Below are 25758 nucleotides of genomic sequence, written 5' to 3'. Positions count from 1 at the left end.
ACAGGAAGTATTTTGAGCAGCTCCAGGGTTTGAGATGTGGAAAGGCTCTCTAGGGCTTACAAACAACCACTTTGTGTCAAATTAGCTCAATGTAGTTGGCAAGAGACTGACTGTGCAGCTGTACGGAGTTGCATTGCCAGTCCCTTAGCTACCAGAGCCATTGACCAGCTATTCTGGCTCAAAAAGGATTAATCGAAATCATCAACATTTGTTCTTCAAGGTCTTATTTCAAAACTGTTAATGTTATATTTTTGAGACCTCTGAGATTTCATAACAATTTTTGTAACCTGTTTAAACATTCAATCACAATGTCAGGAAATCCTGCTTTCTAAATTAAATTCCTCCTGGTACAACTGAGGTCCTTTTCCATGTTGTCCCCTTTCGGGAGATCAAGCATATTATAGTCACTGTCTTCTGAGAAGCTGTATCCCTCATAGCTGAAGGTAGTCATCCTACTTAATATCTCCAAGGTCTTATTTTATGATCATATCACCATCTGTGTGATTCTCCTCAGAATCATTCCCAAACTCTTCTTTGTAAACCACGAAGTCTTACGCTGGAAGTAGTACTCAACATCACTTCATAATCTCCCTTTAGCAGGGGTAGTTGATGCGTAATTTAGCTGTAAAATCTTCAACAAGTACTCTGCCTTCAACATATATATCCTCATAGTACCACATTCACAGTCCCTGTAATTTCACAGAGGAGTGTCCAGAAAAATGCCATCTACACTCACCATTTCCTCTCCCTACCTTTCTCCTCAACTCAGGAAAATCTGGCTTTTGCTCAAATAATTAAAATTGGTTTTGCCAAGATGTGAGTTGACAAATCTAATGAACACTTTTTGTTCACATCTCAATAGACTTTTTGGCAGTTTTTGACTCCCTTGCTGTCTTCTGTCTTGGTAGTATCACTTTTCCTCTACCTCTCAGGAAGCACCTTCAAAGTTTTCTTCAAGGCTCCTCTTTGTCTGTCTTTTAAATGTTGATTATCCCCAAGGTTCCTGTCCAGGCACTCTCTGTCTCTCTCTCTCTCTCTCTCTCTCTCTCTCTCTCATCACATCTGCTGTTCCTTACTCTCAAAGCTTTAGCTACACCTACATACCAGTATGTGTTAGAGCAATGTCTTCAGTTTAGATCTTTCTCATAAGTTTCAGTTCCCTTTGTGCAATGCCTGCCAGAAATTGCACCCGCATAAGCACACACTCTTCAAACTTAAGATATTCAAATCTCCATCCCTCATAAGGCTACAATCATCCTATATTTTGTGTGTAGTGAATGGCACAGCATTTACCAGAGTCTCCAGCTAGAAACCTAAGAGTCATTCTTGCTTATTCATTCATTCATTCATTTACTAAACAGCTCTATCTTTGCATCTCCCCAATCCCTGCACTGTACAACGTACTTGGGATAGAATAGTAAAGAAAGCAACAAAGTCCCTACCCTTACAGAGTTTACAGATTAGTGACAGAACAGAGATTAAATAAACTACAAGCTCACACTCACCAGCCCCCTTCTAAAGTAGGCCACAACTCAGTTCCCTGGGATTCCCAACCAATGGACCCAAGGCTTGGCCCTCCTGAGAAATAGTCAAGAAGGATATATTTGCAGAGTGAGAATGGAGTTTGAAGCACAGGTTAGTAAGTTCACCGACATGGTGTGATGCCTATCATGGTGTGGAACAGAGTTGGGATTGGAAGAGAAGAAGGAGAACAAGAATAGGCTATGGGCCAGGGGCCAGATGTCCCTGTGCTTCCACTTTCCTGAATGGAACTTCAAGGATTCCAAGGATTTAAAATTCAAATATGCTTTCCCAGTCATTATAAAGGTATATTTGTCAAAGTAGAAGGAAACAATAGATTTTACTTAAGCTTTTATGAGTTTGGCTTATAATTTTTAAGTATTTAGAAATAATACACTACATGAACTTCCATTCATACTTTTGCCCCACAAATATTAGGGGCATCCCTGAAATGTATTTGGTAATACTGAAAAAGATAAAAGAGAGATAAAGAGAGAGGACCACAAATATACAACATTAAGAATGAGAAGTGGATGACATTACTACACATACAATAGAAATTAAAGAGGGAATACCAAGAAAAGCCTATCATTTGGAAAAAATGGACAATTTTATTTTTAAAAACTATACAAAAATTGCCTTATGTAAAAAGAAAATTTAAATAGTTCTATAACATTAAAGAAATTGAGCAAAACAATAAGTAAAAAATTATCATGAGGGAAAAATAACATCACTGAGATCAGATAATTTTACAGGTAAATTCTACCAAAACATTCAAGAAACAGATTATTCAAATTTTATACACACTCTTTGAGAAAATATAAAAGGACAAAAATTTTCATCTCATTTTGATACCAAAACTAAAAGACAGTGTAAGTAAGGAACATTGAAAGCTAATCTCAGACATGAACACTGATGCAAAATGCTGAATCAAATATTAAACAAGCTAAATCCAGAAATTAATAAAAATAATATGCCATACCAAATCTTGTGTACCCCAGAACTGCTAGAATGATTTTCACTAGAAATTCTATCAATAAAATGAATTACTTTAACAAATTTAAGGAGGAAAAAGAAGTGACCATCTCAATAGAAAGAGGAAAAGCATCAATAAATTTCAAATCTGATTCATAATAAAAACTAATAAAGGAAAGATATTTCCTTAAAGAGATGATGAGTACCTAAAAAAAAAGAAGAAGAAGAAAAGGAAACTTCAACAAAAGTTATTTAATGGTGAAACATAAAAGTATTCCGTTAAAATCAGGAACAAGTAAAGGAAGACATAAAAGGTTAATTTCTGGAAGTGGAATAACTGAGATACAGGAAATTAGTATTTTAATTTTAATAGATAATACAAAAGCACTCTTCCAAAAGGTGTTGATTTTACAATTCTAGTGCCCATTTCCCCATACCTTTACTGGCATTGAATGTTATTCATCTTTTTAATCACTGCCCATCTGTTAAGAAAACAAATTTTATTTTTGCTTTGTGAAGATTCTGTTTATGTCATTTGTAGAGTCTTACTTAATATTTTAGGTTGTTGTAGCTTACCATTGTTACTGAATATTGAGGGAGAGGAGGATGAGAAAGGTTGCCAATAGTCTTAACTGAGCTTAATGGCATCGGTAAAAAATGAAAATGATCTCTATGAAAACTTACCCAAAAGGGCATTATAAATATGTGTAGTATAACAATGTTATCTGCACCAGAAGTTGAGTCAGGAAATCTGTATCTGTGCCTCATGCCTTATTTCAGCCACCATATCCTTCCAGAGGCTTCATGGCAGGCAAGCAACACAATGAGAGAATTCTGGTGTTCTCAACCATGGCAACTCTCACAGCCATGGGTGAAGGCCTCTCCCCTGAGATCTCAGACCTGGAGATGCCTCTGTCAAGCAATGGCTCTTGGGTGAACATGTATGATACAACTTCTATTATCGCAAGTCTGGAACTGTATTCACCAACATATGCACATCCAATGCTACCAGAATCTATGAAAACTCAGTGATAAAAAAATCAGAGTCAAATTCCCCCAGGTTTTTGTTTTAACTGCTTTCTTGCAGAAAAAAAACTTCTTTTCTGGATGAATGCTGTTTCACAGAAACCCATTTCTCAGTCTACAAACATAGTTTCCGGATAATAATTTGCAATAAACCTTTTGCTCAAATCACCAAGAACAGGAGGTCTGAAATATACTTCAGAGTTGTGTGACTTTTGAAACCCACCTCAGCAGCCCTGAAGCTGTTATTTGTTGCTCTTTTTCAGATATAACCTCAGTCCTTCCTCACTGAGAATATTAGGGTTAAGATTTAAGAATACAGATAGTCTTTGAATTCAGATAGCTCTGGATTAAACACCAGTTCCTCCACTTAAAGGCTGTGTGACCTTGGGTGAGTTCCTCTAAGCCTCCATTTCCTCCTCAGTTTTTTGTTTTTGTTTAGTTGTTGTTGTTTTGAGAAGGAGTCTCACTCTATCACCCAGGCTGGAGTGCAGTGGTGCGATCTCGGCTCACTGCAACCTCCACCTCCCGGGTTCAAGCAATTGTCCTGCATCAGCCTCCCAAACAGCTGAGACTATCGGCGCCTGCCACCACACCCGGCTAATTTTTATTGTATTTTTAGTAAAGACTGGGTTTCACTATGTTGGCCAGGCTGGTCTTGAACTCCTGACCTCATGATCCGCCCCCTTCGGCCTCCCAAAGTGCTGGGATTACAGGTGTGAGCCATCGCCCCAGGCGTTCTCCTCTGTTTTATGAAGACAGTATAGCCCTGCACTGAATAATTGTGAAGATCAAATGAGACAATGTATTTAAATCATACCTTTAATAAGTGCTCAATAAATGGTAGCTATCATCACTATTATTTCTCTCAAAGAATGCTCCTTTCTAGATTCCCCAGTCCCTCTTGCTTTTCTTCAGTTCCCTCACCTCCTCAAAGAGCTATCGAGCCCAGCCTTGGATTGGCTAAGTCACTCACAAGTCCAGAGCGCAATTCACAGCTATGTCCATACTGCGCCCTCTAGTGTCACTTTAGGGACTATGTGACTCTGGAAGCGCCGTTACCTCCAGGATTACGCCAAGGGTGTAAATTTCTCTATGTCAGGTGCATGCCCTCCACTGCCAACGTCACTCCACAGCTTGATAATGGTGGTGCTCACAGAGCACTGACATTCATTTAGGTCTGGGTAAGGCTCACATTCCATAAGGTGGGATGGAAAGAATCATCAGTCCCTTCTAACAGGGAGCTTTCAAGCTCCAGAAACCAGGAGACTCATTCAACACATTCATCTCTATATGTCCACCTGGGACCATTAGGCACATAGATGTAAATTTTATCTGGAAATAGCCCTGAGTGCCCCCATGCGTGTGTACAGCCAGGGAAACACACCTACTGGGAGGTCATACTCACCACCCCACTTCTAAACCAGGCCACAGTTTAGAACCCCTTGGTTATATAATATGGATAACGGATGTCTAATAAATGCTTTTAATGGCTTGAGATTATATCTGCTCTTGAGCCTGTGTGTTCAAAGGTAGTAAAACCAAAACACTGGTGAAATGGTAGAAGAAGAATAATAAATTTGTTGACACAAAATTCCAGCACAGATTTTCAATTGCTCATCTCTGTTCAATATGACGAGAAATGAGAGCTAACACCTATTCAGCACTTGCTGTATGTTAGGTACTGTTCTAAAAGTTTTACCTGTATTAGCTCATTTAATACTCAGAACAACATTACAAGGCATTTATTTTTCCCATGTTTTAGATGACAAAACTGAGGCACAAAATGGTTAGTAAGTGGCCCAATATTGAACGTTTACCAAATGGCAGATCTAGGTGAGTAACAAATGGCGTTAAGAAAAACCACAAAATTACAACTTTAGAAAGTTTATCAGAGGGAAAGAAGGAAGGAACAAAGGAATGAAGAAAGGAATGAAGGAAGAAAAGAAGGAAGGAAGGAAAGAAGGAAGGAAGAAGAAAGAAAGAAATTAAGAAAAACTACATGTGATATATTTTAACACAAAGCAGACTCCCATCAATGTAACCAGATGATGTCAGCAGGATGGTGAAAGGACTCAACATAAAGAAAGGACTGTTGAAGCTGTTGAAACAATCCAATCAGCTACTTCTTGACATTCAGACAGTGGTCCAATCTGAGTGGAAGAACCACTATGAACTCTTGCTGTGGGTCACACTTGCTAAGACCAAGCCATACCTCCTGACATAAGACTCTAAACCATACTTTCTACTAGAAAATATAAGAAACATAGTAGCTCTCCCTAAGGGGCTATTTCACCATTCATAAAGATGATAACTTGGATAGATATCTATGTTAATCATGCTTTGAGAAGTCAATAAGATGTTACATTTGTTGAAAAGTAATTTAAACAGACTAAGACACCAACCTGAAATGTGCTCAAAAAGGTGATCATGTGCCCTTAAACAGACCTTCATCTACACTATAAGCCATGTAGGTATCCATTTTATGTGTCTCCTAATCTTCCATTATCAAATTATTTATTCTCAGCATATTATAAGCAATAGTAGCAGAGGATCATTGGCTTGGTACTAACTGTGATTTTCAACTCTTGTCCTGAACTGAATCTGCAGCAGCAGAATTTTCCTTGGCTCTTACAGGTTATAGGAAATGGTACATTCCTGGTCCTCTTTGAAGTATAGTTCCTACTAATCCTCTTCTCAGATGCAGAGATCCCCAAACAACCTCAAAACCTCCTCTAATAGGGCCCTGTGTAATCCAAGGCCACTAGCATTTGCCAGCGCACTCACACCACCTCACCATCTCTTCCCAGCAGGAGGTTTCATAGCACAGATAACCCTGACCTACTTAAAGAACTCTAAGCTCCTATAGCACAAATACATGCATAAATATATACCAGATGCACAGATCAAATTTAAGAAGAATAGATTATGGACATGGAACTGTCAACATGACCTTCACAATCACATTTTTTCATCCTTCCATGTGGTGTCCACCTGTGGTGCACTGTCAGTGGGTTTGGTTGAAGCTCAGTAGGTTCTCACTTTCAAAGTTGGCTTTGTGCCTATGGGATTTTTTTTTTTTAGCTTTGTTTTCAGCGATGCGGGTGCCCATAGAACTAAAAATTATCCAAGATAAATGGTTCACCTTTAAAATTTGTCTGTGGCTGGGCACGGTGGCTCACGCCTGTAATCCTAGCACTTTGGGAGGCCGAGGCGGGCGGATCACGAGGTCAGGAGATCGAGACCATCCTGGCTAACATGGTGAAACCCCCGTTTCTACTAAAAATACAAAAAATTAGCCGGGCGCGTTGGCGGGCGCCTGTAGTCCCAGCTACTCGGGAGGCTGAGGCGGGAGAACGGCGTGAACCCGGGAGGCGGAGCTTGCAGTGAGCCGAGATCGCACCACTGCACTCCAGTCTGGGCAACAGAGGGAGACTCCGTCTCAAAAAAAAAAAAAAAAAAAAATTGTCTGTAAAGGAAAACTGTTTTATTATCATCATTAGAAAGACTTCAGTTGTCCTTGTTCTTTTACCATTAACAACGTAATAAAAATTACATCAGGAAACTACAGAAGCCTGGTATTTTATTCTTAAAACTACTCTTCCAAATGAAAATGATTTCTATAAAACATGCACTAAACTTTTCTAAATAAAGACTCAAAAATTTAAAAGCATATAGATAGAACAAAGAAGTAGAGATATTACACTAAGCAATAAGAACCTCAGTCAAGGCTGGGCACAGTGGCTCACGCCTGTAATCCCAACAATTTGAGAGGCTGAGGCGGACAGATCACCTGAGGTCAGGAGTTCGAGAACAGCCTGGCCAACATGGTGAAACACTGTCTCTACTTAAAAATACAAAAATTAGCCAGGTGTGGTGGTGCACCCCTGTAATCCCAGCTACTCGGGTGGCTGAGGCAGGAGAATTGAACCCAGCAGGCAGAGGTTGCAGTGAGCCGAGATCGCATCACTGCACTCCAGCCTGGGTGACAGAGCAAGAGTCTGTCTAAAAAAAAAAAAAAAAAAAAAAAAAAAAAACAACCTGAGTCAATACCCAAGTTCATCTTGGAAAAAAAAATTAATTACCCTGGTAGCGATCAATCATCCTGTGTCTTTACTTACAAGTTCGGGAAGCAATTCTAAGAACCTACATACATGAAGAAGATTCCAAACAGCTTTGTAGGTTTGGTGTCTCTCAAAGACAAATTCTTAGCTTGCATTTACTCATTAAAAAAAAAACTTCAGGCCAGGTGTGGTGGCTCACGCCTGTAATCCCAGCACTTTGGGAGGCCGAGATGGGCAGATCACTTGAGCCCAATGCTGGGATTGGCAGCAGGTGCTTGGAGCCAGAAAGCAAGTAATAAAACACATCCAAGTGGAAAAAAAGTGTTCAGTATCACTCAGTGATGCCCAAAAGCACTTCAAAGCAAAGCATCTATGAGGTGATTATGAGTGTCTATGCATGGAACCAAGAAGAATAATGAAATGAGGTTAATGTTGGAAAGCAAAATGACAGTAAATCTGAGAGAGAGAGTGGAGTTTTGCCCGCCCATGGCCATGCTGTTTCCTTTTTCTAAAATGCTCTTCTTTCTCTTTCTCATCTCTCACCTGTTTAACATGAAGACTCATCCTGTATGTCAATACTTCTGAGAAATTTCCCAAACTCTCTTGGCTGAGTTGAATATGCACTGCCTTAATATTCTGCTTATTTTTATACCCATTTACCTGCTGTTGTAATTGTCAATATGACTTCTCTAAGTACCTGTAGAAAGCAGGATATCCCTAGTGCATGACACAGTACCTGGCATAAAAACAATGCCTGATGATGGCTGTGGAATGTGCACCAAGTGTGAAATTATCAAGAGGAAATCTGGATACAAGTCAAAAGACCTGGCTTTTCATCTATGATCTGCCATTATATGACTTTGGGCAAGTCATTTCTTTTCTCTGTGCCTGAGTTTTCTCATCTTTAGAATGAGGAATTAATATTTTTTTTTTGAGACACAGTCTGTCTCTGTCACCCAGGCTGGAGTGCAGTGGCATGATCTCGGCACACTGCAACCTCCGCCTCAGGGTTCAAGTGATTCTCCTGCCTCAGCCTCCCTAGTAGCTGGGATTATAGGCACCTGCCACCACGCCTGGCTAACTTTTGTATTTTTAGTAGAGACAGGGTTTCACCATGTTGGCCAGGCTGGTCTCAAACTCCTGACCTCAAGAGATCTGCCTGCCTCAGCCTCCCAAAGTGCTGGGATTACAGGTGTGAGCCACCTCACCCTGCCAAGATTATCTTTAAAGTTATTTAAAACTGTAACATTCTATGATTCTATAGTGAAGTTTTCTTCTCTACTTTTCATCTTGAATTCAAAACATGCTTTACTCTTAGTATTTCTTATCCCGAGTTGATCCATTGTAACACCCTTTCTTAACATCCATTACACCCGGATCCATGACCAGTAAAGGAGCCAATGTTTGCTGTTCTATTTTTAGAGACTTTTTGTCATAACTATACAAAACTGTGAAGGTAGTATTAATTGCATGATCTCCACAGACACCTGTAAGCAAGAAAATATAGGTGATTTTCACATTCTCATTTACCATTCTTGGATAAAAAAAATTATGTCATATCACAAACTTCTCATATGCAAATATGCAAGCACAAAGAGACCATTGTCACTGCATTCAGAAGAAAATCTACCATGGAGTTTAGTTATGAAAACCCACATGCTTAAAACAATTCTTATCTCTAGTGAGCAATGCTTTGCAATCCTCATTCTAACTCTTTTTCTTGTTCTTTGTCTTTCCTCAGGCCATCTTCCAAGACCCTCAGTGCAGAAGTACCCTTTCTTCAACTCACTGCTGATATGTCCTTTCCAAAATACAGATAGAAACACAAATATCGTATTCAAATACTTTTCCCTTTATAGCTTTCAAATTTATAACCTTAGAGCAAGAAAGGACATTACAGTTTATGAAGTCAGAATTGTTCTGGTGAGTCAGTGAAGTCACCATCACTTTTCAGTTGCATACATTTAAAAAAATATATGGCTAAGTAATTGTTTACATTTTTCTGTAACCCCTAAACCGTGTAATCCTGAGCAAGTAACTTCACCTCCCTGAGTCAAATGTGAAACTGGAGAATTTGAATCAATAATACTTGAGGAATCTTCCCTTTTTAAAAATTCTATACTTTTTTTTAACTTTTATTTTAGCTTCAGGGCTACATGTGCAGGTTTGTTATATAGGTAAATTGTGCCTCATGGGGGTTTGGTGTACAGATTATTTCATCACCCAGGTAATAAGCACAGTACCCAATAGGTCGTTTTCCAGTCCTCACCCTCCTCACACCCTCTACCCTCAAGTAGGCCCAGGTGTCTGTTGTTCCCTTCTTTATGTCCATGTGTACTCAATGTTTAGCTTCCACTTAAAAGTGAGAACATGTGGTGTCTGGTTTTCTGTTCCTGTGTTAGTTCACTTAGGATGATGACTTCCAGTTCCATCCATGTTGCTGCAAAGGATATGTCTTTTTATGGCTGTGTAGTATTCCATGGTGTATATGTACCACATAAAAGTCTATAAATATATTACCATCTCTTTGCATGCAAAGAGATAATTTGAAAAAAAAACTGATAATAAAAATGATCATTATAAAATTAGGACTGCTTGCCATAAAAAGGAACAAGATCATGTCCTTTGCAGGAAAATGGATGGAGCTGGAAGCCATTATCCTCAGCAAACTAAAACAGGAACAGAAAACCAAACACCGCATGTTCTCACTTATAAGTGGGAGCTGAACAATGAGAACATATGGACACAGGGAGGGGAACAACACACACTGGGGCCTGTCAGGTGGCAGGGGAGAGAGAGTGTCAGGATAAATAGCTAATATATGTGGGACTTAATACCTAGGTGATGGGGTTGACAGGTGAGCAGACCACCATGGCACACGTTTACCTGTGTAACAAACCAGCACCTCCTGCACATGTTTCCCAGAACTTAAAGTAAAACAAAATTAATTTAAAAAAATAAAAATAAAATAAAATAAAATTAGGACTGTTCAAATCAATTCATTCATGTAATATTTATCATGACAATCATGTCTGTTCTCCACATAAGGCCACATGAACACAGACCTTTAGAAAGATTCTCAGAGTATCCCAAAGTTTATAGAGAATAAGACACCATTATTTTCTTTAGAAGTTTTAAGTCCTGAAGTTACCAAGACAGTCTGTCAAATCAGTCTTTTTCCTGACAAATATAAAAATCTCACCTGGGCTAATTACTCAAATTCCTCCTTAAATAAAAGTAAAGAATCACTTATTATTATCCCAGTTTACAACCTTTTAAAATTAAGCCCATGATTTCATAAAAGTCTTGGTTTTATTTTATTCTCATCATCACATTGTACTTTTGAAATAAGTAGTGCTTTGGCACTGATTTTTGAGATGAGACTGTAACAGCTGAAAAAAATTTAGAACTTGTGAAAAATGATCCAGCAATATAGAGGCAGACCCAGACTACCCTAGAAAGTTAATAAAGCAAAAGGAGAAAAGGTTTTTTTTTTATCTCAATACCAGTTAGAAAAAAAAAATCCTTCTTATAATTGAATTTGATTGCTTTTATTCTTGCCTTCTCCTAAACGTTATATCCCACATCTTTTTACACTAAACTTGGACTCTACTCAATGAACTAGCATTCTACAATTAGCCTGGGAACCTGAGATGTTTATGATTAAAACTCTCAGCAAAATCAGCATACAAGGGACATACCTCTATGTAATAAAAGCCATCTATGACAAACCCACAGCCATCATAATACTGAATGGAGAAAAGTTGAAAGCATTCCCTCTGAGAACTGGAACAAGACAAGGATGCCCTTTCTCACCACTCCTCTTCAACATAGTACTGGAAGTCCTGCCAGAGCAATCAGACAAGAGAAAGAAATAAAGGGCATCCAAATTGATAAAGAGGAAGTAAAACTGTCGCTGTTTGCTGATGGTATGATTTTTTACCTAGAAAACCCTAAAGACTCTTCCAGAAAGCTCCTAAAACTGATAAAAGAATTCAGCAAAGTTTCCAGATACAAAATCAATGTACACAAAACGGTAGCTCTTCTATACACCAACAGCAACTAAGCTGAGAATAAAATCAAGAACTCAACCCCTTTTACAATAGTTGCAAAAAAAAAAATACTTAGGAATATACCTAACCAAGGAGGTGAAAGACCTCTACAAGGAAAACTACAAGACACTGCTGAAAGAAATCATAGACCACACAAAAGATGGAAACACATCCCATGCTCATGGATAGGTAGAATCATTATTGTGAAAATGACCATACTGACAAAAGCAATCTACAAATCTACAAATTAAATGCAATTCCCATCAAAATACCACCATCATTCTTCAAAGAACTAGAAAAAAGCAATTCTAAAATTCATATGGAACCAAAAAAGAGCCCACATAGCCAAAGCAAGACCAAGCAAAAACAATAAATCTGGAGGCATAACATTACCTTATTTCAAACTATAGTATAAGGCCATAGTCACCAAAACAGCATGGTACTGGTATAAAAAATAGGCATATAGACCAATGGAACAGAATAGAGAACACAGAAATAAAGCCAAATACTTAGAGCCAACTGATCTTTGACAAAGCAAACAAAAACATAAGGTGGGGAAAGCACACCCTTTTCAACAAATGGTGCTGGGATAATTGGCTAGCCACATGTAGGAGGATGAAATTGGATCCTCATCTCTCACCTTATACAAAAATCAACTCAAGATGGATTAAGGACTTAAATCTAAGATCTGAAAGTATAAAAATTCTAGAAGATAACATTGGAAAAACTCTTCAAGACATTGGCTTAGGCAAGGATTTTATGACCAAGAACCCAAAAGCAAATGCAATAAAAACAAAGATAAATAGCTGGAACTTAATTAAACTAAAGAATTTTTGCATGGCAAAAGGAACTATCAGCAGAGTAAACAGACAACCCACAGAGCAGGAGAAAATCTTCACAATCTGTACATCTGACAAAGAACTAATATCCAGAATCTATAAGTAACTCAAACAAATCAGCAAGAAAAAAACAAAACAAAACAAAAGAACAACAATCCTATAAAAAAAGGTGTAAAAAACAAACACACAAACAAACAAAAAAAACTTAGGAATATACCTAACCAAGGAGGTGAAAGACCTCTACAAGGAAAACTACAAAACACTGCTGAAAGAAATCATAGACATGAACAGACAATTCTCAAAAGAAGATATACAAATGGCCAACAAGCATATGAAAAAATGTTCAACATCAGTAGTAATCAGGGAAATGCAAACCAAAACCACAATGTGATATCACCTTGCTCCTGCAAGAATGGCCAAAATCAATAAATAGTAGATGTTGGCATTGATGCAGTGATCAGGAAACACTTCTACACTGCTGGTGGGAATGTAAACTAGTATAATAACCATTATGGAAAACAGTGTGGTGATTCCTTAAAAAACTAAAAGTAGAACTACCATTTGATCCAGCAATCCCACTACTGGGTATCTATCCAGAAGAAAAGAAGTCATTATACAAAAAAAAAAAAAAACTTTCACATGCATATTTACAGCAGCACAATTCACAATTGCAAAAACATGGAACCAACCCAAATGCCCATCAAAGAAACTGTGGTGTGTGTGTGTGTATATATACATATATATATATGTATATATACACACACACACAATGGAATACTACTCAGCCATAAAAAGGAATGAATTAATGGCACTTGCAGCAACCTGGATGAGACTGAACACTATTATTCTAAGTGAAGTAACTCAGGAATAGAAAAACAAACATTGTTCTCACTCATAAGTGGAAGCTAAGCTATGAAGATGCAAAGACATAAGAATAACACAGTGGACTTTGGGGACTCAGGAGGAAAGGGTGGGAAGGGGGTGAGGGATAAAAGACTACAGATAGAGTGCAGTGTATACCATTCGGGTGATGGGTGCACCTAAAATCTCACAAATCACCACTAAGGAACTTACTCATGTAACCAAACACCACCTGTTCACCAATAACCTGTGGAAATTTAAAAAAAAATGTTTTAAAGCATACTTTCTCAGTTTGACAGTTTGGCATAAAGATAAAATATTCATTTAGGACTTGATGTATTTTTGACTAAAGGTAATAACATAATTTAAATTTTTAAAGAAAACATTTTTTAAGTGCTCAATTTTTCCCATTTTTTTAAAATTGAGATAAAATTTACATACAGTGAAATGCACATATCTTGAATGTGCAATTCAATGAGTCTAGAGAAATATATATACCCAAATAAGACCACCCAAATCAGGATATTAATTATTCCCCTCTTTCCCAAAAGTGTTCTTGTGCCCCCATCCAGTCAATCTGTATCCCACATAGGTAAAACCTGTTCTGATTCTGATCACCATAGAATAGATTTACCAGGCTGGGTTGGGAATTCCATATAAATGGAATCTAAATATATACATAAATCTATGATGTTGTATGCACTAGTAGTTTTTTATATTGCTGAGTAACATACTATTGTATGACTATGCCATAACTTGTATATTATGAATAAAGCTGCTATAGCATCTTTATTGACAAATTTTGGGGACAAATATTCATTTCTCTTGCACAAATACTTATTAGTGGAATTGCTGTGTCTTAGGCAGATACATGTTCACCTTCACAAGAAGTTGCCAAATAATTGTACAAAGTGATTTTACCCTCTTATATATCCTCCAGGGTTAGAGTTCCAGTTACTCCACATCCTCGCAAACATTTGGTGTTGTTTTAAATTGTGTCTATTCTACAGGAAATAAAATGTCATATCATTTTGATATCTCACTGTGGTTTTATTTACATTTTCCTGTTGACTTGATCTTGAGCAATATTTGAACATTCATACATCTGTTAAAAAGTTACTGCTCAAGTCTTTTGGACATTTTTAACTGAATTTTCTCTTTATTATTATTTTATAAATACCAATTCCAAGTCCATTGTAAAATATATTTATTGACAGTCAGTCTGTCACTTGACCTCATTTTCTTATGATGTTTTTTGATGAACAGAAATTTTTAATGTTGTTATACTTATTATATTTTCTTTTTTGGTTACTGCTTTGTAGAACTCTAAAAATCTGGTGTGGGTACTAATACTGAAGATATTCTCCAGTGTGTTTTTCTATAAAGTTTATAATTTTAACTTTTATATTTCTGTCTATGATCCATATTGAATAAATGCTTATGCCTGATATAAGGTAAAGTTCTGTTTTATTTTTCCCCGTATGCTTTTAGCGTTACTTTAATTTTTAAAAACATATTCTCTAATTGTTTACAACTATAAACAATTGTTGTTGATATTTTTAATATCTGCCAATCCTGATAAGTTTACTTTTCAGTACTAGTAGTGATTTTGTAGGTGTCTTAGAATTTCTGTGTAAAAACTTGCTGCCTGTAAGCAGACAGTTTTATTTCTTCCTTTCTTATTTGTTTGTCATCTTCTTGCATTTTTGCAAGCTAGGACTTCTAAAACAATGTTAAATAGAAGTGCCCACAGCAAACTTCTTAGTCTTTTCTAAATCTTTGGGGAGAAGCTTTCAAAATGTAAGTATGATGTTAAGTAAGATATTTCCTAAAGGCTTGTCACAAATTGAGCAAGTTCCCTCCTATTCTAAGTTCGTGAGAAATTTTATCATAATAGGGTGTTGAATTTCAATTTTTTCAATATCTCAATTCCTAAAATAGGTATGGGCTACTTAGCTTTTCTATTTCTCTTTCTCAACTCAGTTTGGTACTTATTATTTTTCAAGGAATTTGTCCATTTCACCTTAGTTCTTGAATTGACAAGCATAAATTATTTCAAATATCCTTTTACTCTTCTTTCACTATCTACAAAATCTGCATTTATATACCCTCTTTTAATTCTGATACTGGTAATTTATGTATTTGTTCTTTCTTAATCAGTCTTGCTGGGGGTTTGTATTAGTTTCTCACTGCTATTATAACCAAATGCCACAATCATAGTGTTTAAAACAACAGAAATTTATTCTCTAAGTTCTAAGAGGCCATAAGTCCAAAAAGAGTCTTACAGGTCTAAAATCCAAAGTCAGTATGGCTGGCTTCTGGAGGCTTCAAGGAAGAATCTATTCCTTGCCTCTTCCAATTTCTGGTGGGTGCCGACATTCCTTGCTTCTGGCCACATATAGCTATCTCTGCTTCCCTTATCACACACCCTTCTCCTCTTCTGTCATCAAATATCCCTCCACCTCTCACTTTTAAGAACAACTGTGGTTACATTTGAGACCCACTCAGATTATCTAGGATAATCTCCGTATTGCAAGACCCTTAATTTAATCACACCTGTCAAGTCCCTTTTGCTATTCTGTTATATATACATATATATATATATATATATATATATATATTTTTTTTTTTTTTTTTTTTTCTTTTTTGAGACGGAGTCTCGCTCTGTCGCCCAGGCTGGAGTGCAGTGGTGTGATCTTAGCTCACTGCAAGCTCTGCCTCCCAGGTTCATGCCATTCTCCTGCCTCAGCCTCCCGAGTAGCTGGGACTACAGGCGCCCGCCACCACGCCCAGCTAATTTTTTGTATGTTTAGTAGAGACAGGGTTTCACCATGTTAGCCAGGATGGTCTCGATCTCCTGACCTCGTGATCCACCCACCTCGGCCTCCCAAAGTGCTGGGATTACAGGCATAAGCCACCGCACCTGGCCTCTGTTCTATATTTTATTGATTGCTAATGTTATCTTTTTATTTCCTTCCTTTTAATTACTTTGGCTTTGATTTGCTCTTCTTTTAGCTTAAAGGAAAACAGGGCTCATTGATTGTAAACATTTTTTTCTTTGCTAATATTAAAGCTATCAATTTGCCTCCATACAATATTTATCTCTATCCCCATTTTGATGTGCATTCATTAGTTAACCACATTCTCTAATTTAGCTTGTGACTTCTTCAACACATGAGTTATATAGAAGTGGTTTTTTTAATTTTCAACTATTCATGGATTTTTCTGATTATATTATTGTTATTGATTCCAGTTTAATTCCATTGTGATCAAAGAACTATCAAAGATTGAGAGGGGCTTGAGAATTTACTTCACTTGCAAGCTAATAAGTTAACCTGACACAAATTTACTGATGCTGGCAGAAGACACAAGACTCCTAGATCAGAAATGAAGGACAATTACTCACAACAATAATAGTAGCAAGAGTATTAGCATTTGTGCTTGTTCCCTAAAACCTAATTCCCCAATAGTGATGTAAAGAAGACCAGGTGATATGCTTTCACATGCAGTCAGTTGTGATACAGAAGAAAAACTTCAAATTTAGGGATTTTGAATCTTACATAATCAACTGGAAGTCTATCTGGCCTTTGCACCATAAGTCACTAGGACTCCATTCACTTATTTTTCAGTGATTTTTCCCTGTCTTCTTCAAAATGGATAAGTTTTATTAACCTGTATGCAAGTTCAGTGACTTTCTTCTGCTGTCTTCAATCTACTGTTAAGCCTAGCCATTGAATATTTCTTTTCAGTTATTGCATTTCTCTATTTTAGAATTTATATTTGCTTCTTTTTTGTAGGTTTCATTCCTCTCCTGAGAATCCCCATTTGTTTTCTCATTATGAACATCCTTTTCTTTAAGTCTTTGAACATATAAAGCTATTTTAAAGTCCTCGTCTTCTTATTTCAACATTTAAGTCAAGTCCATCTATTTCTGTAATCTGCCTTTTCCCATGACTACAGGTAGTATATTCCTGTTTGTTCACATGTATAAACATTTTTATTGCATATGATAGTGAGAATAATACATTTAAGAGACACTTGATTCTGTTATATACTCTGAAGGGTGTTGATTTTTGTTCTAGCATGCAGTTTAATTACTGGTTGATCAACTTGATTTTGAAGAGGCTTTTTAAAATAGAACTTCCATAGATGTGGGGAGTTTGTTAGTGCGTGTCTTTTTAAATTTAGCCCTCTTACTAGGGAAAATTCTCTAGTCTTAGAACTTTGTCTTTACTTCCAAAGTGTGGCCCTCTTGGGGTTTCAGTAGAAAGCCCAAGGCACCAAGGCACATATCAAGCCCTTCCAAATAAGCAGGACTCTAAACTACCTCCTCTTTGGTGGGAGTCTGTTCAAATGTCTCTTCAGCTCCTTTAGCCTTTCCACTGTTGCTTTCTACTGGAATCCTTGAAGCCTCCTCTGTGCATATGAAGATCAAGTATCAGCCAAAGATTTGAGAGACTTTATTCATAGAATTTAGTGCTCCCTCCTTCATAAGATTTCCCCTCTAAATTTCTAATCACTCTTGTAGTCCCAAACTCTATACCCTTATACATCAAGTCAATAAGATGGCAGCTTTCTCCTTGAGTACTAGTTGTCCCAGACAATACTCCATAGATTGGGTTATCCACTTAGGAACAAAAAACATTATAAAAATGTAAATCTCACCCAGCAAACTGCCTGTCTTTCAAGGATAAATTCCTTTCAGTTTCTGCTTGCTTTGGGTAACTCTCCAGTGTCTTCAAATAATAATGGTTTGTTTCCTTTCATATATTTTGCAGAATCTATGATTGTTATCTCTAGAAGAGTTAGTCTGACACGAACTACTCTGCCATCGCAGGGACAGGAACTTAACTCCACTGTTACTTAAAACACCAAAAAAGTAATTATAAATGAATTTGCATTATAAAAAGTGAAAATAAAGGATGATCCAAGGAAAAGGAAATTTCCTATCTGCCATCTACAAAATGGGTGAAACAACGCAATATAACCTACTTTGCAGGAGACAGGATTAACAGTCTAACTAAAACTATATTATTTATTTCATTATAAATAAATGTGGAAACAAAAACAGTGAGAAGGTAAAATTGTTAACACTGGGACTAGCTAAATCTCACTTGGAATTCTGCATCCTTATTTAAGTCAGGTTTTCTACCTTGACTCTGTGAATCTTTCCTTAATAGTTATAAACAAAACTGGAATTATACTGTGTGTGTGCACGCGCACGCGTGTGTGTGTGTGTGTGTGTGTGTGTATTCTCATGCAAAATTGTGAAAAGAACACAGCATCCATCTTTGTGGTGGAAGGGAATCTAACCACCTTCATTTTAGCTTACAATTACATGTAAAAATAAGCATGATTTTTAAGATATTTCCAAACATGTGGGGGCAGAAAACTAAAATATATTTTGAGAAATAACAATGCAACTATTGAAGCTAATAGTACAGTCAGAAAAAAAAAATACCTTAGGTAAATTGAGACATTTCCAAAGCTAAGAGTACTTAATGTTGAAAAGGAGCCTACAATCTAAAGTTTTTGTTTCCATGAAGAACATACCTGAGCCTATAGTAAAATGTGCAAATATTCTAAACTCTTTGGAACCTGCCCTCATCACAATGACTACCTCCCAAAAAAACCCGTGATGCCCTAATACCCAACACCTGAGGCAGCAATCTCTGTCACAGTGACAATTCCCTAGAGGAATGCTTTTCAAAATATAACATGTATAAGAATCATTACCAAAAGATCTTCTTAAAATGCAGTTTTATTTGTGAATGAGGCTATAGATTTTGTATTTCTAACAAGCTCCCAGGTAGTACTGCTGATCCACACTCCACACTTAGAGGAGCAAAAGTGTAGAATTCAGATGGATAATTACTTACGATAAGTTCAAACTAACATCATGCCTTATTTTCCAGGAATGTCATCTCTCTGAATAGAGTAGATATTGGCTAGGACTAGGTTGAGGAAAGTCAGATAACTTGTAAGCAAAATTTGAGGAGACACTCACTCTGAGGTATTGACCCTGCACTTGTGCGACCCTGGGAGTGAGTCTTTCCTTATTATTTTGCACCCTGGGCACCTCTCTGGCCTGACCTTAATCTTGACCCTGGTGACAGTTAAGACAAGAATAATAATGAATCTGGGAATTAATACTTCAAGAATAAAGAAACACACAGAATAGGAGAAAGAAATGTGACATAACTTTCATCCCCTCTAAATTATATTGGTTATAACTCTTCCTTGACCCCTGCAGTGCCTGAGACCATCTGAAAGGAAGGAGTCAACCTACTCACCCAGAATGATAAGAAGAACATCACAGTAGTGGAATATTGCAGAAGATACCCAAAATTTCTAATTTTTATTAGTGGCACAGAATTTACACTTCAGCCATTAAATATTTCATACAAATTGAAGGAATTTTTCACTGTGCTTTTGAATGACAATATGCTAGTTTTATAAGTGACTAAAATCAAACAAATTCAAGAAAGAGCAATAATTAAGAACCTTGTTTAATTTACTTGAGAGTTATGAATTTTGCTATTTAAAAAATGTATCTATAAGAGTATAATAATATGGAAAAGGGACATAATGCAAAATTAAGTTTTAAAATGTATGATGTAGGCTGTGGCTCACTCCTATAATCCCAGCATTTTGCGAGGCCAAGATGGTGGATCACCTCAGGTTAGGAGTTCAAGACCAGCCTAGCCAACATGGTGAAATTCCAGCTCCACTAAAAAAAAGTACACAAAATTAGCCAGGTGTGGTGGAGGATGCTTGTAATCCCAGCCACTCGGGAGCCTGAGGCAGGAGAATCACTTGAACCCAAGAGGCGAAGGTTGCAGTGAGCCGAGATCGTGCCACTCCACTCCAGCTTGAGTGACAGAATGAGACTCCATCCCAGAAAAAATAAATAAATAATAAAATGAAATATTATGAAATATTACAACTATTTGAAATATTACAACTACTTTTTGAAAAATTATACATAGAAAAAAATCTCCAAAATAACAATTAAATTTTGGCCAATGGTTTCCTTTAGGTTAAAAAAAAAAAAATTATGGTTGACTCTTTTTTTCCCCTCCATCCCCTTTTCTAATAAGCATGTGTGATTTTTTTTAGCTGAAATATTTATGTGTTATCAAGATGAATCACATCCAAGTTTTATTCATAAAGAAACTTAATCAGTAGAGAGTTTAACAATGCACTTGTCAATTATAAATTTTTTGAAAGCCAGTTCTTATGTTAAATTTATAGAGTTGAGCGTCAACTAAAACAATCATTACCCTTGACAAAATTCTAATCAATGATGAAAACTGTTATGCAAAGTTAAAGAGAAACCTTGTCACCTTTAGTGTTCATAAAATCCTGGGAAAGAAACATAAGGCATATTCAGGTTACTGTCCTAGACTTCAAAAAAGTGGATATTTTAATGTTTTTTTTTTAATTTTAAAACATACATGATTCTACAACCTGGTACCCTGAGAAACAAAGGTGGGTCAAGAGGGTTAGGAGTGGTCAAAATGGCCCTGGTGCCTGAAGGCAGTAAGTTCAAGCTATAATGGGGCCGAACAGTCTGTGGGAAACAAGACCTAACTCAATCTTAGAGGATGACAAAGTAAAATTTTCAAAAAGCTAAACCAAGATTCTCATATAATCATGTGAATTGGTGTCAAAGTCTTATTTAGCTCATTAATGAGGGAACCAGTAAGAGATAAAGCTGGCTCCAAGGTCATTTGAAGAATTGGGAATTCATGGACATCTCTAAAAGATGAATTCAGAATAGGATTATTAGTTAGATACGAAACTGATTAATGTCCCAGAAAGCAATAAAATTATAATATTTGGGTTATCATTTATACTACACAGTTACCATGTAACTTCATGATGTCTAAACTTTAATCAACTAGTAAATAACAAAATTAACACAAGTGCGATCTTCTAAAGAAGTAAATAATCCATGAATGATACAGACAAATAATGCCATTGATATCACCTCTGTTTTGCCTTATTTCTATGTGTTGAAAAGTTTTTCTTAGAAGGGGTAAGAAAGGTTTTCCAAAGAAGATGATGTTTAAGCTAAGATTAGAAGACAAGCAAGCAGTCTAAAAGGGCAGGCAAGAGCATTCCTGGGTGAGGGACGTGCATGTTCACCAAAGGAAAGGAAATGGATTTATAACTAGGAACAATTATAAGGACCCAGAAACTTGTAAAATAGCATTAAGGGCCAGATGCAGTGGCTCACACCTGTAATCCCAACACTGTGGGAAGCCAAGTTGGGAGAATCACTTGAAGCCAGGAGTTTGAGACCAGCCTGGGCAATAAAGCGATACCCCATCTCTATTTTAACAACAAAAAAAATTTTAACTAGCCAAGCACCATGCTGGGTGCCTGCAGTCCCAGCTACTACAGAGGCTGAGCTGACAGGGTCCTTGGAGCCCAAGAGTTCGAGAGTGCAGTGAGCTAGGATTGCACCACTACACTCCAGCCTGGGTGGCAGAGCAAGCCCCTGACTGTTTAAAAAAAAAAAAAAAAGTGTAAAGGCAGCTAATTAAAGTCTGATTTTCTTTCCAGCAGTCTTGTTCCTTCCAGTTCATTCTTCAGACTCCAGCCAGTGTGATCTTTCTAAAGAGCTCATTGAAAATCTGATCCTTTCAGCCATCAGCCTACAATACTCCACTGTCTTCCCTTTGCCTACTGAAGAGCCATACTCCTTAGATTGGCTCTCCATTCAGACCCTTCCTAACCTGCCTTGCTAACTTCCTGTGATGCAGCCTTTCTAAGTCATTTACAGTTTCCAGCCACTGTCCTGCACTCCTTTCTACTCCTTGACTGACTTTCTCACTGTCTGCCTAAATCAGTAATTCGCAGCCCTGGTTGCACATCAAAATGACTTGAAAACTATGAAAAATTACGGCTGCCCAGCTCCCAGCTGCAGATCAATTAAATCAGAATTTCTGAATGAAGATGGATTTCTAGCTTCAATGTATTAAAGCTGCACAGGTTATTTTAATGTGCAGCCAAAGTTAAAACGTAATGATATCAAAGGACAAAGTAGAAAAGGCACTGGCTTATTCCAATTCCTTCTTCTCAAAGCTCTCCTTAAACATCATACTCTCCATGAAGCTCTCCCCGAATTCCTACTCCCACTTCCGCACATTAGCCATTTCATTCTCGGTCCTCCTGAAGCACTTGGGACATATCTCCGCTGTATTATATCAGATTTTCACCGTGAGACTAATAGTTTAATGATAAGTGATAAAATTCCTCAAACACAATCCTTAAACAAACAGTTTAATCAAATGACTACATCAGAATTCTGAAACCAAAACAGAGCACTTTAAAACCACCAATACTGTCTTTTTAGCTTTTTGATAAAAAAAAAAAACACATTGAAAGAAAAGTTTCTATATCATATGTGTACAGCTTGCTGAATTTTTCGAAACTAAACACAACCTGTAAAGTAGCCCTCAAACCTCCCCAGTATCACAAAAATCTCTACCACTCCTGCACTCTCTTCCCCATGACTGTTCATCCTAAGGTACTATGAGCCTGACTTCTAACATGGTAGATTGATTTTACCTTTTTCCTACTTTATAAAAGGAACTATCCAGTATGTAGTCTTCTGTAGGTTTCTTCATTCAGCATTATGAGACTCACTTACATTGCTGCATGTATTGTAGACCATTCACTGTTATTGTTATATACTAACCCATTTTTTGAAGACGGTACAATTTACTTATCCATTCTACTGTTGATGAATACTGCTTATTTTCCAATTTTTTGGCTATTATCAATGGACTGCAGTGATATCCTAGCACATATCTTTTGCTCATATGAATGAATTTTTGCTGGGTATATACCTAAGAGGAGAATTACCTAGTTATAGGATATGCATATGCTCCCCTTTAGTAGATACTGCTAAACCAGTTTGTAACAAATTTTCCCTTTGATCTGTCCTGTATAAGAGGGCCAGTTCCCTCACCAATACTTGATAGTTTCCATCATTTTTATGTAGCCATGTTGGTGGTATCCCACTGTGGTTTTAGTTTACAGAATTGTTTAAGTTTAATACAATTGAGCACCTTTTCATATGTTTATTATACACTTGATTGTCTCTTTTGTGAAGTTTTTGCCCACTCTCCTATTGGGCTGTTGTTGATTTTTCTTAATAATTGTGAAATTTGCTAACATATTATGGAGATAAGTCCTTTGTTAGATATGTGTACTGCAAGTACTTTTTCCACTCTATAATTCAGTCTTTTGAGAAACAGAAGGTCCTGCTTTTATTTACTCTATTGTATCACTATTTTCTTGCATGTGAGGGTATTTGATTCCTATTTTAACAAGTTTGCCTACTCCGAAGTCAGAAAGATGTTCATCTATGTTTATTCTAAATGTTTTATAATTTTGTCTTTCACATTTAGATCTACAGTCCATCTGGAATTGACTTTTGTGTACATGATATGTTTTTTGCCATGTGGCTATCTGATAAATGCAGCACTATTTACTAAACAGATAATCCTTTCCCCTCTATACTTCTATCATAAGCCATTTGAACATATATGTGTAGGTGTGTCTCTGGACTTCCTATCTTGTTCCAATGGTCAGTTTGTCCACTCTTATGCCAATGTCATATTCTCTCAATTACTTACTATATCTTTAAAATAAATCTTGACATTAGGTAGCTTTATTCTGCTTCAAGTTTGTCCTGGTTATTCTTAGCCCTTTGTCTTTTCACGTAAATTTTAGAATCAGCTTATCAAATTTAACTTCCTTTAAAAATCTGCTGGAATTATTATTTTTATTCCATTGACTTTATCAATTAATTTAGAAAGAATTGAGATATTAGCAGTATTGAATCTTCCAATCCATGAACACAGTATTTACTTAGGTCTTCTTTAATTGTTCTCAATAATATTTTAAAGTTTTAGATGTAATGATATTGTATATCTTTTATCATACTTGTTTCCAGTTTTTTATGTTTCCTACTATCACAGTAAATGATATTTCTATCTAAGGTCCCCAAGAGCATCTTTCGGTTTGATGATTTGCTAGGTGGACCCAAAGGACCCAGCATATGGTTATATTCATGAATATGATTTAGAGCTACAAACAGATGCAAAGCAATATCAACAAAAGGAAAGGGAGCATTGGGTGAAGTCTAGATTACACCAAGTACACGCTTCAAAAAGTTCTCTCCCAGGAGAATCTCACAGGATAAGCTTAATTCCCCCAGCAATAAATTGTGAGGTACAGAATGTTGTCTACCAGGAAAACTCACTGGAGATTCTGTGCCCAACATACCAAAATTCCAGACTCCCAGAGGGAAACAGATGTTCAAAATATACCACATTGTTTGCACACAGTATAGATACAGTGAAAAACTCTTATCAGCTGGGGTCATGAGAACCCTGTAGAAATCCAAGTTCCCATATGCCAGCTAAGGGCCAACCTTGCAAGTAGGCCATTTTGGAGATAAGCATTCACAGGTGCTCTAAATTAACTATATTCTGAACAGTATATTTTACAATTTTTATTAACTATTCATTTTTTACTGGCATATATTAATACAATGGACTTTTATACATTGATACTATATCCAGTGAACTTGTTAAATTCACTTATAATAGTGTACATGCAGATTCTTTTAGATTTTCTAAGTATACATCATGTAGCCATTGACTTTCTTTCAATATAAATTTGTGAACTCTTTCCCCATATTGAAACAGAAGAATGTAATGATTTCATTAAGCTACAATTTTCTATCCATTATCATGTAAACATGGTGTGAAATATAGTTTAAAAAAAAAGAGTTGAATATTTCCTTCCTCTTCCAAACTTACAAAACCAAAAAGATAGAGAGCTTCAGACATTCACAAATTTTAAAAAAGCAAAAAGGTCTACTTATAGTCTTTGGAATACACACCATTTAGCTTTATGAATCAGAGACATTATGGAGAACAATTCTTTAGGTATCAATATATGATATTTTTAATTTGGTTTGCAATTGGAGATAAAGTTATCTTCTCCTAACACAGGTTATGGAGCTCTGCTCTAGGCAAGTATGGAATGGTAAGCCATTATTTTCCTATATCCTTTTATTAACCTTTACAATCATTTTATTCTTTCTTTGTAACTTTTTCTTTACAAGAAGGGTAGGCTTTATTAACATTTACTAATTCAGACTATCTTATGCAAGTGACATAAACCTCCATAGTTTCAGCAAAAAGAAAATTTTATCATAAAAAAAATGTTTTGTAGAACCTATGAATAAAATGGAGTCTGTGGCTTAAGAACAACCAAAACCCTCGTAACTCTCTAGCCAACCCCATTGCCTATGTATATAATTTTGCTTTCTTCTCTCTCACACTGCAAAGTGCTTTCTCTAGCTCTCTGGTCATATCACTAAAAATCTGACCTCAA

At 36.6% G+C, this 25758-nt stretch overlaps 1 long non-coding RNA gene across 2 annotated transcripts in view, besides 1 other annotated feature; it reads right to left on the bottom strand.

Moving 5' to 3' along the window:
* The window catches only part of LINC01091 (long intergenic non-protein coding RNA 1091), a 280788-nt gene that overhangs the window by 153223 nt on the left and 101807 nt on the right, over nucleotides 1–25758 (bottom strand). Inside the window, exon 1 of one of the 2 annotated variants that reach the window (NR_027106.2) lies at nucleotides 3181–3292. The exons of the other annotated variant lie outside the window; for it this stretch is intronic. This is a non-coding gene — a long non-coding RNA (long intergenic non-protein coding RNA 1091). Of the gene's footprint in view, nucleotides 1–3180; nucleotides 3293–25758 lie in introns of those variants that run through there. 2 annotated transcript variants of the gene reach the window in all.
* Nucleotides 1243–1302: an enhancer, noted in NCBI's record as "active region_21882". NCBI's record gives its function as "activates an Ori minimal core promoter by ATAC-STARR-seq in GM12878 lymphoblastoid cells {active_cell/tissue: GM12878}" and the evidence as "EXISTENCE:reporter gene assay evidence [ECO:0000049][PMID:35858748]".

This window comes from Homo sapiens, chromosome 4 (genome assembly GCF_000001405.40).
Source record: "Homo sapiens chromosome 4, GRCh38.p14 Primary Assembly".
NCBI classification, from domain to species: Eukaryota; Metazoa; Chordata; class Mammalia; order Primates; family Hominidae; genus Homo; species Homo sapiens.
This window is presented reverse-complemented; position numbering and strand designations above follow the sequence as displayed.